We start from the raw sequence: 16,430 nt of genomic DNA on the forward strand, positions 1-16,430 counted from the left end.
CAAACATCAGCAGAGACAGAATTCCTGTGAGACAGCAGCTGGCAGGCACAGAGTAGCAGCTGTCCCTTTGGTGGGGTGGGGGTCGGTACATGGTCTCCAAGGGTCCGAGGCCCACTGCTCCTGACCCTATCTGAGAGGTCCCTATCATTTCCTACCCATTTTGCTAACAAAAGCTGTCTCAGAAGAAGGGGGAGGGCAGAAGGCACTGCCCTTGCCTCTGGGCAGCCTCATCCCAGCCCTTGGCACTCCAGGGTGCCAGTGAGGTCCCACCTGTGCCCCCTTAAGGAGAGGCTGGTAGATGGCTCATCCCCACGGGGAGAGTGAGTCCTGGACTCTGTGGCCCTGAGCTTGTCACTTGCTCACCCCAATGAAGCGCTGCCCAGGGGAGATTACTGTCTTTGGAGTTTGGGGCAGGAGGGTGGGTGAAATCACTCAGCCAGAGGATGGAGAGGCTGCTAGTGAGATACAGGCCCCCTCCTCGAGCTTTAGGGGTGGAGGAAGGCAGGAGCTCAAAGGCATGGGGAGCTGAGACATTGAGAAGGAGAGGGGAGTTCCGGAGTCTAGGCCCCTCCCTCTCTCCTGGCCTCCTCCTGGGCCCAGTGGAGACAGGAGCCTGGAGCCTGGTTTGCGTCTTCTCTCTTCTGTGGGAGTGAGGGAAGGCTTTGGTCTCTAGGCTGAGCCAGTCTCAGGATCCTGTGTCCGTTGTCCCAGCTCTGCCCTAGCCTGCCATGAGCGCTGCAGGAGGCCTTCTGCAGGCTGGCGCCCTGCCCCTGGGCTCACCTTTCATGTGAGAGATGGAGGAGGTGCAGACCTGGCCAGTCACTGCAGTGTGCAGGCGGACTGGGAGGCCATCCCAGCACCTGGGATGTGGACAGCTTCCTGGAAGAAGTCACAGCTGAGTGTGTCTTTAGAAAAAAAGCAGGAGTCAGCTAGGAAGGTTAGGTGATGGGCTTGGGGAGGGGAGAGAGAAGAGGAGGGGTCGGGGCCAATAGAGAAGATGAAAGCAGAAGGGGCAAAAGAGAACATAGCACCAAGGACCTCCAAGAAATGCACTTTGGCTAAAGTTTGAGGTGGGAGAGGTCAGGACTTGGGGGCCCCGTGTGGAGGGCAGAATTGCAGGTGGGTGTCCTGCTCGAACTGATGGGGTGTGGCCCTTGGGGGCTGTGAGTTGGGGTGGACTTGATGAGTCGTACATTGAAGGAGACATAGGAATAAAGGACTTCTGGGTTTCTGGCTCATGCAGCTGGCTGGCTCTCATTGCTTTTGAGAGAAATGTGAGCTGGAGAGGGATTAGGAAGTAATCAATTGTGACGGCTCCAGCCGTGGGGTCGGCTCTGTTTAGCGATGGTGGACTTGGACTGTGGTGCTGGGAACCCCTTCCCTATACCTTACAGCTGCAGGGCCTTGGGCAACTTTCTCCATTTCTTTTTGCCTCCGTTTCCTCATCTTTAACGTGGAGAATAATTTTTGCTGTCCTCAGAGTTACTGTGTGGAATAAATGTACATGTGAACTGCTCAGAACAGCACGGGGCAGAAGAAGCGCTCTGTAAGCTTGAGCTCAGGCCGTGGAGCTGGGCAGGGTGTGAGGTGGAGGCCATCTCCAGGAAGCTCAGCTGCTGAAGGCAGGTCCGAGGGCTTGCAAACACCCACTTTCAAGGAATAGTGGGAGGGAGATGAGCCGCAGAATGGTGGGGAGATAGGAGGAAAGCCACGAGGGGAGGCAGGGGCCACAGGCCACGGGCCCTGGAACACAGGGAATGCAGCTGGGATGTGGGTGACGGGTGGCTGCTGGCATTGGTATGGAAGGTGCCAGTGCCTTGTCAGGGCGGAGGGCGACTAGAGATCAAGGTGAGGGGAAAAATAGCCACGAGACTAAAGGAGGCGTTGAGGATTCGAGAGCCTGAGGTGGGCTGGCCTGGGAGCCACGTCTGCTTGGACCAGCTCCTCCTCTTCCTCCCAGGGTTGAGGTTGTACAGAGATTTGTGACGCATCAACAGCTGTGAACTGCTGACCACATGTGCCACATGACACCATGTGATAGGCGTGTTATTACCTGGGTACCCGATGAACTGTTAGGTTTTATTGATTGTCACACGTATCAGGTTCTTCAGAGAAACAGGACCGGCAGGAGGTGGGTGGGTCCAGTCTGCAGGGTGGGCTGGCAGCTGGAGACGCGGAGAGACAGCTGATGTTCCAGTTTGAAGGCCATAGGGCAGGAAGAGTTGTTCATGTGGACAGAGTCCCAAGGCCATTTGCGGAGAACCCCCTCTTACTTGGGGGAGGGTCAGCCTTTTCATTCTGTTTGGGCCCTCAGCTGTTGGACAAGGCCTGCCCACAGGAAGGAGAGGGATCTACTTTCCTGATTAAGATGCTGATGCCCTCGCAGAAACACCCAGAACAATTTTTTTTTTTTTTTGAGATGGAGCCTTGCTCTGTCTCCCAGGATGGAGTGCAGTGGCGTAATCTTGGCTCACCGCAACCTCCACCTCCTGGGCTCACGCGTTTCTCCTACCTCAGCCCCCTGAGTAGCTGGGATTATAGGCGTGTGCCAGCACACCCACCTAATTTTTGTATTTTTAGTAGAGACAGGGTTTCCCCATGTTGGCCAGGCTGGTCTCGAACTCCTGACTTCAGGTGATCTGCCTGCCTCGGCCTCCCAGTGCTGGGATTACAGGCATGAGCCACCACGCCTAGCCCAGAACAATGTCTGACCAAGTATCTGCGCTCCACGTAGCTCAGTCAAGTTGACACATAAAATTAACCATCACAACACATTCACTTGTGTTGCAGTAAATCTGGAAGCATAAACATGGGGCGTGTCGTCAGGTGCACACCTCCAGTGGCCACATCTTCCTGACCTGACAGAGGGAAAGACACATCTCCTATTGAAACTGCACTCTGGCAAGGCTCCGGCGTGCTGCTCTGTGGATGATGCACAGGGCCTGGGTTCCAGAGCACATGCCAGCTGCCCTGCAGTGACTGGCATAAAGGTCGGATGGGGACAGGAGCACAAGAACAAGATGGGGTGAGACAGGAAAGATAGTTGGACGTCTCCATGAATATGTTAGCCTAGGATGTCTCTGAAGCTGGTTGATGGTGACCTTTCCTTTTAGATTTGAAATTCAGGCTTCAGTGACTTCAGGCCCATATTTTATATGTTATACATTAACAGAATGCTACTGGAAGGAGAGACCCGAGCCAGGGGGGTCTGTGAAGTGCATGCTTAGTTAGCGAGTAGCTGAAAAACATTAATTAAAAACCAGGATACCTAACTCATTGCTGGTGGAGTGAGAGTGTTTAAAATCTCTAAGACTGAGGGAAAATAGCCGTGGTAAAGGGGTTCAGCGGGACCTTACCTGGCAACCCCATGTGCTCCCTCGCCCTGTGGACGTGATCCTGGCTAAAGGGCAGGGCTGTTTGAGTCTCGCTTACTGATTTTAGAAATACAGCACTTTTCCTCACTTTTTCTCTTAGCATAGGACAATTCGTGAATTAAACTTTTCTTAACCTAGTATTTTAGCATCCTATTTGCAACGTGTACATTGTATGTACGGTAGGTTCTTATTTTTTGTAACAATACAAAAATTAGCTGAAAAAGTCATTAGATTTTCTCAGATACATGTTCTCACAACTGATACTGGTGAGGTTCTGTGTGTAAATAAGTTTGTGGACCAAGACCTTTTCATACAATACCTCATGTGATTCCTAAAACAACCCAATGTGTTAGATACACTGTTATTACAGAAGAGGAAATGAAGGCCATGAGAACCCATATAGAATTTGAATTTAGAGCTGTCTGATTCTGGAGTGTACTTTATCCCTCTCTACTCCCACTGATGTTATGAAACTGCTGAAAACAAGAATTACATCCTGGAAGGGAATTTTTCATACCCATCTTCATGAAGAGCTACAGGACAAGGCTTCTGACTTTTTTTAGGTTAGCTTAGTGTCATTGTCTGTTGGTGACTGAAGGAAGCTAGCTGGCGCAGCCCCCATGTGTGCAAGGCCCCCGAGTACACCTGATAGAGCCCTATCTGGTGTATATGGGTGCATGTCGCTGGCATCAGCACCCTGCCGGGGTGAGGGTAGTTCCTGGAGCTACTGGGATGAAATGCAGAGCTCCCAACCTGGAGGAGTGCATGGCCCAGTGGAGGAGACAGGGCAGTGACCAAGTACAGTGGACTGTGCAGTAGCTGACCCAGGAAGAGGGGCCTCAGCCAGGGCAGTGGGCGGACGGCCACACGGGCGACCTCCTGGAGCAGCTGTGCTGGAGTAGATGGAGGCTGAGAGCACAGACAGGCAGAAGGTGGCCAGGGATGTCATTGCAGGCACAAGGGATCGTGTCCAAAGACATGGAGGTACAGGAGGGAGGACACTCGAGGGGGCTTGAGCCTGGCATGGGGCATGCTGCCCTGGCTGGGTGTGAAGGGCCTTGCACACCTGATGCAAGACAGCAGCCCGATTGTGAGGCCAGGTCTAGTGGAAGAGGCTGGCCACAGGGTCACCTGCCCTGCTGGTAGGAGGTACAGGCATGTTCGAGCCCCATGGCCTTCCTTATGACACACTCACAAAGAAAGTCATCAGAGAAACTGCAATAATAAATATTAATAAAAGCAGAAAACAGTTAATATTTTAAAAGATTATGAAGGCTAGGTGTAGTGGCTCACGTCTTAATCCCAGCACTTTGGGAGGCCGAGGCGGGAGGATCACTTGAGGCCTGGAGTTTGAGACCAGCCTTGGCAATATTGTGAGACCTCAGCTCTACAAAATAAAAATAAAAATGATCCGGGTGTGGTGGTGCGTGCTTGTAGTTGCAGCTACTGGGGAGGCTGAGGCGGGAGGATTGCTTGAGTTCAGGAGGTCAAGACTACAGTGAGCCAAGATTGCGCTACTGCACTCCATCTGGGGCAACAGAGAGAGACCCTGTCTCAAGAGAAAAATAACAACAGAGCATAACACAACACAGCATCCTGCCTCTGAATCCACTCTTCCCACTCTGTAACCCATGACTCGGCCCTGTTTTCCTGGCGGACACACCCAGATTGCAGCATTCTCCAAGCTGCCCCAAGGGCCCCCAGCACCCGCCTCCTCCACACACACAGCTGTGTATGTTTTGAATGTGGAAAACTGAGTGTATAAATACCAGTGAGCTTCGATAAGGTGACACAAAAGGACATATTACAAAATCTTCTAGCATTTAGTTAACTGTGAGCTCAGTGTGCAGCAGCCAAGGACTCTTTATGCATTCACTCAGCAGGTGTTCCTGGAGACCCCCATGAGGCAGCCCCCATGCAGGGTGCACCATGGCCTGTTGGAGGTGGACAGAGACAGAGAGGGTAGGGTTCCTTACCCAGGCTGGTTGAGCAGACACATGGAGTGATAAGTGCTGTGGGTGCCAGTTGGTGGCTTGTGTAAGTGCTGTAGTCACAGTTGGGTGAGTGCCCCTCTGCCCGCAGAAGCTGGAGGCTCCTCATGTGGAAGGTGATGTTTGAACTGAGTCATGAAGGAGGAGGACAGTGGGCTGGCTGAGGCGGTTCCATCAGGAGACTCCAGGGTTAATGATTCCATGTGACAGGGCCATGGCATTCTCAGAGCTCGGAGGGGAGGGGAGGGGAGCTGAGAAAGGGGTCGGGAAAGGCCCGCAGCTGCTGAGTGGATGGTTTGTTTGGTTTCTTCACAGAGGCCAGTAAGAGGAGCAGGGGAAGTCTAGTTAGTAAGAGGTATGGGGTGGGGTGGTCTGCTCCACAAAGTCATCCAGGGATCCAGCTTTGTCCTCCCTCATTGCTCCGAGGTGTTTCTTCCTGCATGGGCAGCACCACACCTACTTTGTAGCCTGTGGTGAGGGGGAATGGGACACGAGGAAGTGCAAGGCAGTATCCTTTTGAGGATGTGACTCGGAAGTTGCAGGTCTTGCTTTCAGTCCCATCCTCTGGGGCAGAACTTGGTGCTGAGGCCACACGTATCCGCGTGGTGTGCAGATTGCAAGGCAGCTCTGTGCTTGCTCCAACTTGGAGGTTCTGTTCCTAAAAGGAAGAAGGGGAGACTGGACGTTTGGGGTCAAATGGTCTCTGCTACAAGGGCAAATCTGGAAGCTATTTTATGCTCCCTTCAGGGGTTTTGACTTTATCCACATAGTGACAGGGCGCCACCAAGTGCTCTGCTGGGGAGACGCATGGTCACCGTGACCATGTTTTAGGAAGTGCGTCTGGCTGTGCCGGGAGAGTGGGTCTGAGTGCAGGAAGCAGATCTGGTCTAGCTCCAGGAGGTGGGACTTGTGGATGGAAGCACTGGATCTTTTCAACAGGGCAACCAGAAAAACAGCCAGACAGAAGGACCTGGGTGGTCAGCACTCACACAGACACTAGTGTTCCCGTTTGGAAAAATGTTACAGTCTATTCAAGCAGCCCAATGTGTGTTTTATTCATTCTTTCAAAGAACTCTGTGTACCTGCTGTATGTGTATCTGCTGAATGCCAGGGAGCATTCCTGATGCTAGGGGTACAGAAGGGAAGCAGAAAGAGCTCTGCCCTCAGAAGCCTCTGCCTAGGAGAGACAAACAGTCAACAACAAAACAGACAGGAAGGACGAAGGGAAGTAGAAAGAGCTCTGCCCTCTGAGCTCCTGCCTGGGAGAGACAGTCAAAAACAAAACCGACAGGAAGGATGGTTTCAGATGGGATATGGTAAGTTGTAGAAGGATCAGAAAACAGGAAGTCCTTGGGGGCAGAAACAGATTTGGTTAGGATCAGTGAGAAAACCCCAGAGCACAGCAGGAGAGCAACTTGGGGCTGACCTGTCGGAGGTGAGCTGTGAAGGGCTCGCCCTGGGATTTGGGATTTGGAGTTTCCCAAGGGCCCTGGGGTTTGGGATGTGTTCTGTGAGCAGCGGGAAGCCGTTGGATCATTTTCTGCAGTACAGTGATGTGATGTAATTGGTGTCTGAAAATTCCCCATCCAGCTGCTGCGTAGAGGCTGCAAGTGTGGACGAGTGGAATACCAGCCACCCTTGCAGGTAGCTTTATGGCTGCTCCCCATGTGGGGATGCCACAAGCATGAAGTAAAGCCACTGTCTTCTCAGATGGTGGTCCTGGGTTCAGAACCCACCACCACCTGCCCACCCCGCCCGCTGAGGTGGAACATCCTGGTCTCCTAGTGGCTCTCTTCACGTGGGAGTTTGAGACTCTGCTCTAGCTCCATGCTACTGAAGTGAGCACCCCTGCATCAGGGTCACCATAGAGCTTACCAGAAATGCAGCTCTCAGACCCCAGTCAGACCTGTGCAGCACAGTCTGCCCTTCCTTGATGATCCCAGAGGCTCTGCTGCCATATCCTCTCTGGGGCTGTGTCCCCTGGTTAGGCTGCCTTTCTCACCCCAGCTCTATGCACACACTCCCCACAACCCCACACCACACCAACACACACACACACCCAGAAATCCATACACACCCAGAGATACACACAGAGACACACATACCCTGCATCTTCCCACACCACACCGATACACACACACCCAGAGATAGACATACAGACACACCCTGCATCCTCTCACACCACAGCAACACACACACACACACAGAGATACACACAGAGACACACACCCTGACTCCCCCCATACCACATGAACACACACTTACAGGTACACAACAGAGACACACACACATCAGGAATCACCGTGGCCATACATGAGACAAGCTTTGTGCCGAAGGCCTGTCTGGCCAGCTCAGGGTTGAGGGTCCTGGACCATGGGCAGATGCTACGGGAGCCACATGTGAGGAGTGTGAGATTCACAGACAAGGCCTGTGGAGCTTGATTTGTTGAGAGTCCTGTGTGCAAATTGGTGATTTGAGAAAATTGACCTGGTGGCAATGAGCAGGAACTAGGAAACCCTGGCCAGAGGCAGGGCCTGGGCAGTGGGAGCTGGAGGCTGTCATAGGAATATGAAGTCCTGGAGTTATGGCTACCCAGTGGACATGGCTATGTGGACGCTGTATGCTTTTTTTGGTATGACCTATCACATTCTGAATTTTCTATAACATATATCTGTTTTTTTTGCAACCAAGATTAAAACAAAAACTGCCTTGGCTCAGTACAGCGTGGGCCAGCTCTGGGATGTAGGCAGTGAGAAGAGCAGGCAGCCCCGTATGGGGAGGAGCACATGGGAGGCTGAGTTTCGGGGGCTCCTGCCTGTTCTGTAGAATTCCCCGTGTGCTTCTTCTGGCAGCACAGGGCCTGGCATGAGCGGGTCCTTGGTGTGTGCTTATCAGAAGACGTGATGGATGTCACGTCCGGGCACCTGGCCAATTGATGGTCCTTTTGAGAGAAATACAGGATTCTGGGATGTAGCTAGTTTAGGAAGAAGGCTCTGAGTTCGTTTTTAGGTGCCCTGACTTTGTCATCATGATGAGGGAGACACCAAGTTGTTAAGACAGACAGAAATGGGCAAGAGCTGGGCGCGGTGGCTTACGCCTGTTATCCCAGCACTTTTGGAGGCAGCAGTGGGAGGATCGCTTGAGCCCAGGAGTTTGAGATCTGCCTGGCTAGCATAGCAAGACCCTGTCTCTTCAAAAAATAAAAAATGAGCTGGGTGCAGTACCATGTGCCTGTAGTCCTAGCTATTGGGGAGGCTGAGGTGGGAGGATCACTTGAGCCCTGGGGTTAGAGGTTACTGTGAGCTGTGATTGTGACACCACACTTCGGCCTGGGTGACAGAGAGACCCAGTCTGTAAAACAAAACAAAGCAAAACAAAACAAAACAAAAAGGAGAAGAAAGGCCTGGGCTGGACCAGAACTGGTCCCTCTGGAGTTGTCCAGGGACTGATTAGCCACTCTTTATCCCTTCCTGTTTGGGTTTTCCTGGGGTTCTTGGGACCATCCCAGTCCTTGCTCCTATGTATAGCTGTGATGGGTTTAGACCAGTGTGTTGGCAGCTTGCACAGCTGCGGAGCCTGTGTCGGAGCTCAGCCCTGTGGATCCTTGCATGAACTCTGAGACAGCTGATGCTGCTCCAGCCCAGAGCGCAGTGAGAGCTGGCCATGGTTCCTGAAACACAGTTTAGCTCTCCCGGGTTTCTCAGTGGGAACATTTACAATCAGATTCGAGGGCATATCCCATTTCATGGGATAAAGTGAATTAGGGAAAATAAGCTTTTACTTTACACTGAAATCTCCTAAATTTGAATTCATGGGATTATACAGGGCACAGGTGTGTAACATGATCTTGTTTTGGGCCGTTCTTACAGAGGAAGTTTCATGCTCTTTTCAAAACCCCTGTGTTTTTCTTTTACTCGAAGAGAAGTTGTTTCACAGGTGCAACAAAATAATTTTGAAATAATTTCAAGTAATGGAGAAATAATTTTTCTTGTAAAAGAATAATGGTGGAGTCATTAAGGCTCACTAGAAACCCAGAGAGCCTAGGCTGTGATATTAGCTCTGAGGTCAATGATGCAAGAAGTCAGTGACCCACAGAGCCACACCTGCTGCCCCCGCCGCCCCCCCCCCCCCCCCCCACCCAATGGCAGGCTGAATACAGAGGGGACTCGAAGGAGTGGATAATTCCTTTGCCTGGGAGGAGGATGTTTGCATGTTTAACCCAAATCCCGTACTTTTATTTCAGATCATCAGAAAAGCCCTTACTGAGGAAAAACGTGTCTCAACAAAAACATCAGCTGCAGATCTTGTGACAGAAACAGATCACCTTGTGGAAGATTTAATTATTTCTGAGTTGCGAGAGAGGTTTCCTTCACACAGGTAGGTGTACTCCTCTGGGAAACACCCCCAGTAACCCTGGCCACACTCATAGAGAATGCAGGGTCTGCCGGGGTCAGGGGGCTCTGCTGTTTGTTGATGTGGCCAGACGTGAAGCCCTAAGCCACGCAGCCTAACCTGCGATTTGTCAGTTACTTAGTAAGCAAACTCAGCCCTGTTTTCATTCTTTTTACTGTCATCTTAACAACCATCACGTCAATGCATCCTCTTGTGAATATTGAAGCAGCTCTTTTTACAACACATGCTCAGGAAAAGCTCCTTGCACCCCTGTACTCAACCATTTGTTATTTCTGGAAGGACCCACTAGAAGTGTGACCCACCCTAAGAAGCCTGGAGTGGTGATGTCCCCTGGTGGCCTATGCCTGTTCAGCTGCCTGGGCAACTTTCCCAGGAGGATGGGATGCCAAGTGGCACTGGCAGCCGCGTGGGGCCCCCGGCCCACCACTAGTGCTTAGTGATGCACGCCCCCTCGCCCAGGCCAGAGGGCGCAGTGGGAATGGCTGCCACAGCCGGGCCCCAGAGCTGTCCCTGCAAGAGGCCTGTATGAGCACCTCTTAACCTTTTTGGGGTCACCCTTTGAGTATTTGATGCTAGCTATTAATCTTTTGTTCAGAAAAATTAAAATATTTACACAGCATTTTGCATAGCATTTTAAGGGAGCCATGAACCCCAGATTGAGACATCTTCTTTAACTCTGGGGGGCTCTAAGGCCCCTCTCTCACCTCTAGAGTTCTGCAGTATAAATGCTGAAGACCATGCAAGGGATCTTTTTTCTTCGTTACATAGAATCTTTTAAAGATGTTGGATTCTTAAAACTGGAATACCAGTTATTGGATTTCTGGCTGTAGGGTATTATAACTGTCAGGTTCCAGGTTTAGATGGACTTAGGTGGCAGAAATATAGATGGTACTCTCCCTCAGTGTCCATTCAGCACATGGTAGGCTTAAAATACTTTTCTTTACATTTATTTTTATATATTTTTTAAGAGATAGGGTCTTGCTCAGTTGCCCAGGTTGGAGTGCAGTGGCATGATCATAGCTCACTGCAGCCTTGAACTCCTGGGTTCCAGTGATCCTCCTGCTTCAGCCTCCTGAGTAGCTGGGATTACAGGAGCCACTCCACCTGGCTCTTTTTTTTTTTTTTTTTTTTCTGTGAATGATTATATAAATGAAAGAACAAGCGAGTGTTAAACACTTACCTTCTTTTTTTTTCCCGTCGTTTCCTTCTAACTTGTTAGGTTATCTCAAGGTTACCAGCTCTCCCTCTGAATTTCTGTTTGCCAGTCGCTCATGTTTGTTTTGTTGACAACCTTTGAGTTTAAGCTTCTCTAACTTCCTATTTCCCTACTCTGCTTGAGGTCAGGATCCCAAGAATTGGTTACAGTAGTTATAGGGTGTAAAGTGTTTGTGATTTTTTTTTTTTTTTTTTGAGATGGAGTCTTGCTCTGGCGTCCAGGCTGGAGTGCAGTGGCGTGATCTTGGCTCACTGCAAGCTCCACCTCCCGGGTTCACGCCATTCTCCTGCCTCAGCCTCCTGAGTAGCTGGGACTACAGGTGCCCGCCACCACGCCCAGCTAATTTTTTGTATTTTTAGTAGAGACGGAGTTTCACCTTGTTAGTCAGGATGGTCTCGATCTCCTGACCTCATGATCCGCCCGCCTCGGCCTCCCAAAGTGCTGGGATTACAGGTGTGATCCACTACGCCCGGCCCCAGTGTTTGTGATTTTTAAAAAGCCTTTTAAAACCTAATTTTAGGGTGGCTCACACCTGTAATCCCAGCACTTTGGGAGGCTGAGGCGGGCGGATCACGAGTGAGGAGTTCAAGACCAGCCTGAACAACATGGTGAAACCTCGTCCCTACTAAGAATGCAAACATTAGCCGGGTGTGGTGGCGTGGGCCTGTAATTCCAGCTACTCGGGAGGCTGAGGCAGGAGAATTGCTTGAACCTGGGAGGCGGAGGTTGCAGTGAGCCGAGGTCACACCACTGCACTCCAGCCTGTGTGACAGAGCAAGACTCTGTCTCGAAAAATAAATAAATAAACCTAATTTTAATCAAAGGGCAATAGCAAAAGAATTTATCATATGGATTCTTTGAGAGGAAGCATGCTGCAGTAACGAGCCGGCTGTTTCCAGGTCCTTTATTAACCATATTGGCCTAGAGGTTTCTGCGGTGATGATCCGTGTGGCCGTGGCATGGGAGGGCTGGCTCATCTGCGTGGGGTCTGGTAAAGGCTTGGAGGAGATGCAGGATCAGGCACAGTGAAGTTATTGGGGCTGTGATGTGTTTCAGTCAGGTCACTTGGACAAACTGCACTCTGAGATTGCACGCAACCCACTGTTGGGTTAATGTGTGCAGTTGGTTCCATTTGTAAAAGGTAAATTTAGATACTCGCTGTTGTGTACACAAGGTAAAAGTTAATGTATTATGGGGTGAGCACAGGTACCTCCCTCCACCCTTGAGGCCTTAGGGTTGCCAGGGACCGCCAGACTCCAGAGTTCCTTGGGAAAACCATGATGCAGAGCAGGGGATTATAGGTAGGGTGAGACAGGCTTACCTGGGAGCGTGCCCGGGCTGAACACCAGCCTCCATCTCTGAAAAGGCCCCCTGGTAGGGTCAGACCCACACACCTGTCCAGGAATCAGTGATTGAAATCTGGGGTTCCCAAGCTCTAGCCCACAAGTCAGTGGACTGTGGCTGCACCACGGACAGCCCCAGTCTGTGTGTCACCCCCATCTTCCCTAGCTCTGAGGGTGAATGTGTGGACACGGTGAAAGCAGCTGTTCTCTTCTCTGCTCAGTGTGCCTCAAAAATTGACATCAAATGCAGTTGTTTTTCAACATATTTATGTGAAGTGAGTTTTTTTTGCCAATGACTAAGATTAAAAAGAAAGTAAATTTTGGGGATTTAATTGTATTTTAGATCATAGAAAAGTTGATAAATTTGTGATGAGAGAAAATTGTATACATATTGTAAAATAGGACATTGTGATTTTTTTCTGCTTTCTAAGTATTTAAATATATCCCTTAAACAATATATTTAATTTGAAGTTGCCTCTCATCCTCCTTTAGGAAAGACTTTTATTCTGAGCTTTTCTCTTTCCTTGATTTTAGTCTTTCATGAAATGATATTAAAAATAGACTTAATAACATTTTTTTAAAAACCTGATACAGGCTCCCCAGTTTTATTATTTTATTTCACTCATCCATGAAATCCAAAGGTTTGCTCCTTGACCTGGAAGACAGGTGTAGACTGAATCAAAGAATGATAAGGTTTAAACTTCCTTCTGGTGGGGTGCAGTGGCTCATGTCTGTAATACTAGCACTTCAGGAGCCCAAGGTCAGAGGATTGCTTGAGCCCAGGAGTTTGAGACCAGCCTGGGCAACATGGTGAATCCCCATCTCTACAAAAAAATTAAAAAATCAGCTGGGCATGCTGGTGCACGCTTATGCTCCCAGCTACTTGGAAGGCTGAGGTGAGAGGCTCGCTTGAGTCCTGGAGGTCGAGTTGTGATGCTGCCACTGCAGTCTAGCCTGGGTGACAGAGCAAGACCTTGTCTCAAAAAAAAAAAAAAAAAATGTAGATTAAAAGGAACCCTTGCAGACTGTTGGTGAGAATGTAAATTGATGCAGCCGCTATGAAAAACCCCACTGCACTGCAGCCTGGGCAACAGAGTGAGACCCTGCCTCAAAACAAAAAAATAAATAGGCTGGGCGCGGTGGTTTACACCTGTAATCCCTGCACTTTGGGAGGCCGAGGCGGGTGGATCACCTGAGGTCAGGAGTTCGAGACCAGCCTGGCCAACATGGTGAAACCCCCATCTCTACTAAAAATACAAAAAATTAGCTGGGCATGGTAGTGCGTGCCTGTAATCCCAGCTACTCAGGAGGCTGAGGCAGGAGAATCGCTTGAACCTGGGAGGTGGAGGTTACAGTGAGCTGAGATCACGCCACTGCACTCCAGCCTGGGGAACAAGAGCAAAACTCTGTCTCAAAAAATAAAAAATAAATAAATAAAATTGCTTCTGTCACTGGCCCTAGCAGCTTTGGCAAATCTCACCACTTAGGGCCTCGAACTCCTCACCTGTGAATGAGGGACCTGACCATGGTCATCCCTGAAGTCCCAGCATTTAACTCGTAACATGACAAAAAGCAAACCAGGGCTGGGCACAGAGGCTCACACCTGTAATCCCAGCACTTTCAGAGGCCGAGGTGGGTGGATAGCTTGAGATCAGGAGTTCGAGACCAGCTTGGCCAATATGATGAAACCCCGTCTCTACTAAAAATAGGAAAACAAATTAGCTGGGCCATGGTGGCGCATGCCTGTAGTCCCAGCTACTTGGAAGGTTGAGACAGGAGAATCGCTTGAACCTGGGAAGTGGAGGTTGCAGTGAGCTGAGATTGCACCATTGCACTCCAGCCTGGGCATCTCAGTGAGACTCCATCTTAAAAAAAAAAAAAAGAAAAGGAAAAAAAAAAAAAAAGGCAGCATGGTAAGGCCGGGTTTTTATAGATTGGGTCTTTGGAGTGTGCTGTTGGCCTTGGCCACATAGCTGTCTCCTGCCATGCCCTGGCTTTGTGGGGCGCCTAAACCTGTTTTCAGATGATGATTTTGAGTGAGATACAAGTGTAGCTACTTGGAAAAGATTCAGTAGCATCCCTGAGCTATAGTGATAGAAACCCCGTCCTTGTCCCTTCTGTGGAGCAGCCTGTTGGAGCTTCTCTGGGTTGGCCTAGGCCCAGAGATGAGGTCAGCAGCTCAAGGGTCTAGTGTTTTTAGCTGTCTTCCCAGCCCTGCTCCAGAGCCCCCATGTAACCTGCTGCCCTGCAGTGCCCAGCACAGAGCAGTGTCTGTTGAATGCGTGAGTCAAGCAAAACATCAAACAGAATCCTTGACATGGGAAAAACATGCTCCCAGCCACCACCAGCTGAACATTGACATCCAGCTGCTTTCCCACTGGGCAGTGGCTTGTGAAGATGGGGACAGAGTATCATAAATCATCTCCTTTGTGGACAGCAGGGATGATCCTGACCTTCTTGTCACAGACTAAACAGACTAAGTAGCCAGAAGAAAAAAAAAGAAAGAAAGAAAAAAGGGGCTTAAAGGCACTCAGCTGTCAAAATTATAAGGAGGGTTTGTTAAAACTATTTTTTAAAAAAGAAAAGTGGTTAAGTTATGCAGTAGGATATAATATTCTATAATAACTTATTACCAAACTTTTAGCCTTAATCCAGTTGCTATTTTCCTCTTGTCTATTGGATAGACGTATGGAATGTTCTTTTTTTCCCTAAATTTAGTCATGTGCATTTTTTTTCCTATTTATATTGTGGGTTTTTTTTTTTTTTGAGATGGAGTCTTGCTCTGTAGCCCAGACTGGAGTGCAGTGGTGCAATCTCTGCTCACTGCAACCTCCGCCTCCCGGGTTCAAGCGATTCTCCTGCCTTCCAAGTATCTGGGATTACAGGCATGCACCACTATGTCTGGGTAATTTTCATATTTTTAGTAGAGACGGGGTTTCACCATGTTGGCCAGTCTGGTCTTGAACTCCTGACCTCAAGTGATCCACCCACCTCAGCCTCCCAAAGTGCTGGGATTACAGGCGTGAGCCACCGTGCCCTGCCTATATTGTGGATTCTATGTAGATGTTCCAGTGGCTTTTAGGAAGGTCTTTATGATTTCACACATCTGTCTACAGTCATGTCTGCAGAGCAGACTCTCCCCACTCCCTCTGCAGACAGCTGTAAAACATTGTCTTTCATCTCACAGGTATTAGCTTCCTACATGAGTAAAATCAGGTTTAAGTGAATAAAAATTGTGCATCTCTTCCCATGTACCAGGGAAGTATTTTTGGTGCCTCCAAAGACCGAGCACGGTTCACGCCTCTGCTGGCCTTCACACCGCTGCAGCCACACAGTGCAGAAGCCTGCTCCCTGCTGCCCACAAGCATGAGGCAGGTGGGAAGGGGGATGCTCGTGCCACCTTGTAGGCGGGCAGGCAGTCTCATGGGCAGAGGTGTACACAAGGTGGGTGATGAGGAAGACAGCTCTAGGGTATGAATGATCAGCTGCTGAAAAACATCCAGTGCTCAGTGTGGGTACTTAGAGTTATTCTCATAAAAAATGTGAGGCAGAGTTAGTCAGGTGTGGTGATGCATGCCTGTGGTCCCAGCTACTCAGGAGGCTGAGGCAGGAGGATTGCTTGAGCCCAGTGGTTTGTGGCTTCAGTGAGCCATGATTGTGCCACTGCACTCCAGCCTGGCTGACAAAGCGAGACCATGTCTCCAAGAAAAAAAAAAAAAATTTCTAAAAGTACTTGCTGGGTTACACTAAATGAAACCTAAAAAACAAATAGATAAATAATAAAGGTTACACACAGCAGAAGCTTTGTTAACAAATTAACTTATATTAATAGTTGCTGCTGGGAAAACAAGCTGCTTGGTGACTTCCCTAAAGGGTGTCCCACGCATCTGGCGAATGAACAGACAGAGCTCCTGCTCCCGAGTGTCCTGGGAGGCACGTGGGCATGCCGCGTGGGTGGTCTGGGTGCTGCAGCGTGAGTTGTCCTGGGTGTGGAGTGTCAGTGCCTGCAGACCCACACTGCCTCCTCCTTCAGGGCTCACTGGCAGTTTTCTTTCCACCGCTTCAGTTTCCTACTTGAAGTCAGGTTTAAAAA

The 16,430-nt window shown here is 49.9% G+C and overlaps 1 protein-coding gene across 1 annotated transcript in view, besides 1 other annotated feature; it reads left to right on the forward strand.

The window, feature by feature from the left end:
- Positions 1-16,430, forward strand: part of IMPA2 (inositol monophosphatase 2) — a 49,371-nt gene that overhangs the window by 7,939 nt on the left and 25,002 nt on the right. The window contains exon 2 of the mRNA NM_014214.3: positions 9,609-9,742. Coding sequence (NP_055029.1) covers positions 9,609-9,742 — 134 coding nt within the window. The remainder of the gene's footprint in view (positions 1-9,608; positions 9,743-16,430) is intronic.
- Positions 6,365-6,414: an enhancer, noted in NCBI's record as "active region_13098". NCBI's record gives its function as "activates an Ori minimal core promoter by ATAC-STARR-seq in GM12878 lymphoblastoid cells {active_cell/tissue: GM12878}" and the evidence as "EXISTENCE:reporter gene assay evidence [ECO:0000049][PMID:35858748]".

The sequence above is a fragment of the Homo sapiens genome, chromosome 18, assembly GCF_000001405.40.
Source record: "Homo sapiens chromosome 18, GRCh38.p14 Primary Assembly".
Lineage (NCBI taxonomy): Eukaryota > Metazoa > Chordata > Mammalia > Primates > Hominidae > Homo > Homo sapiens.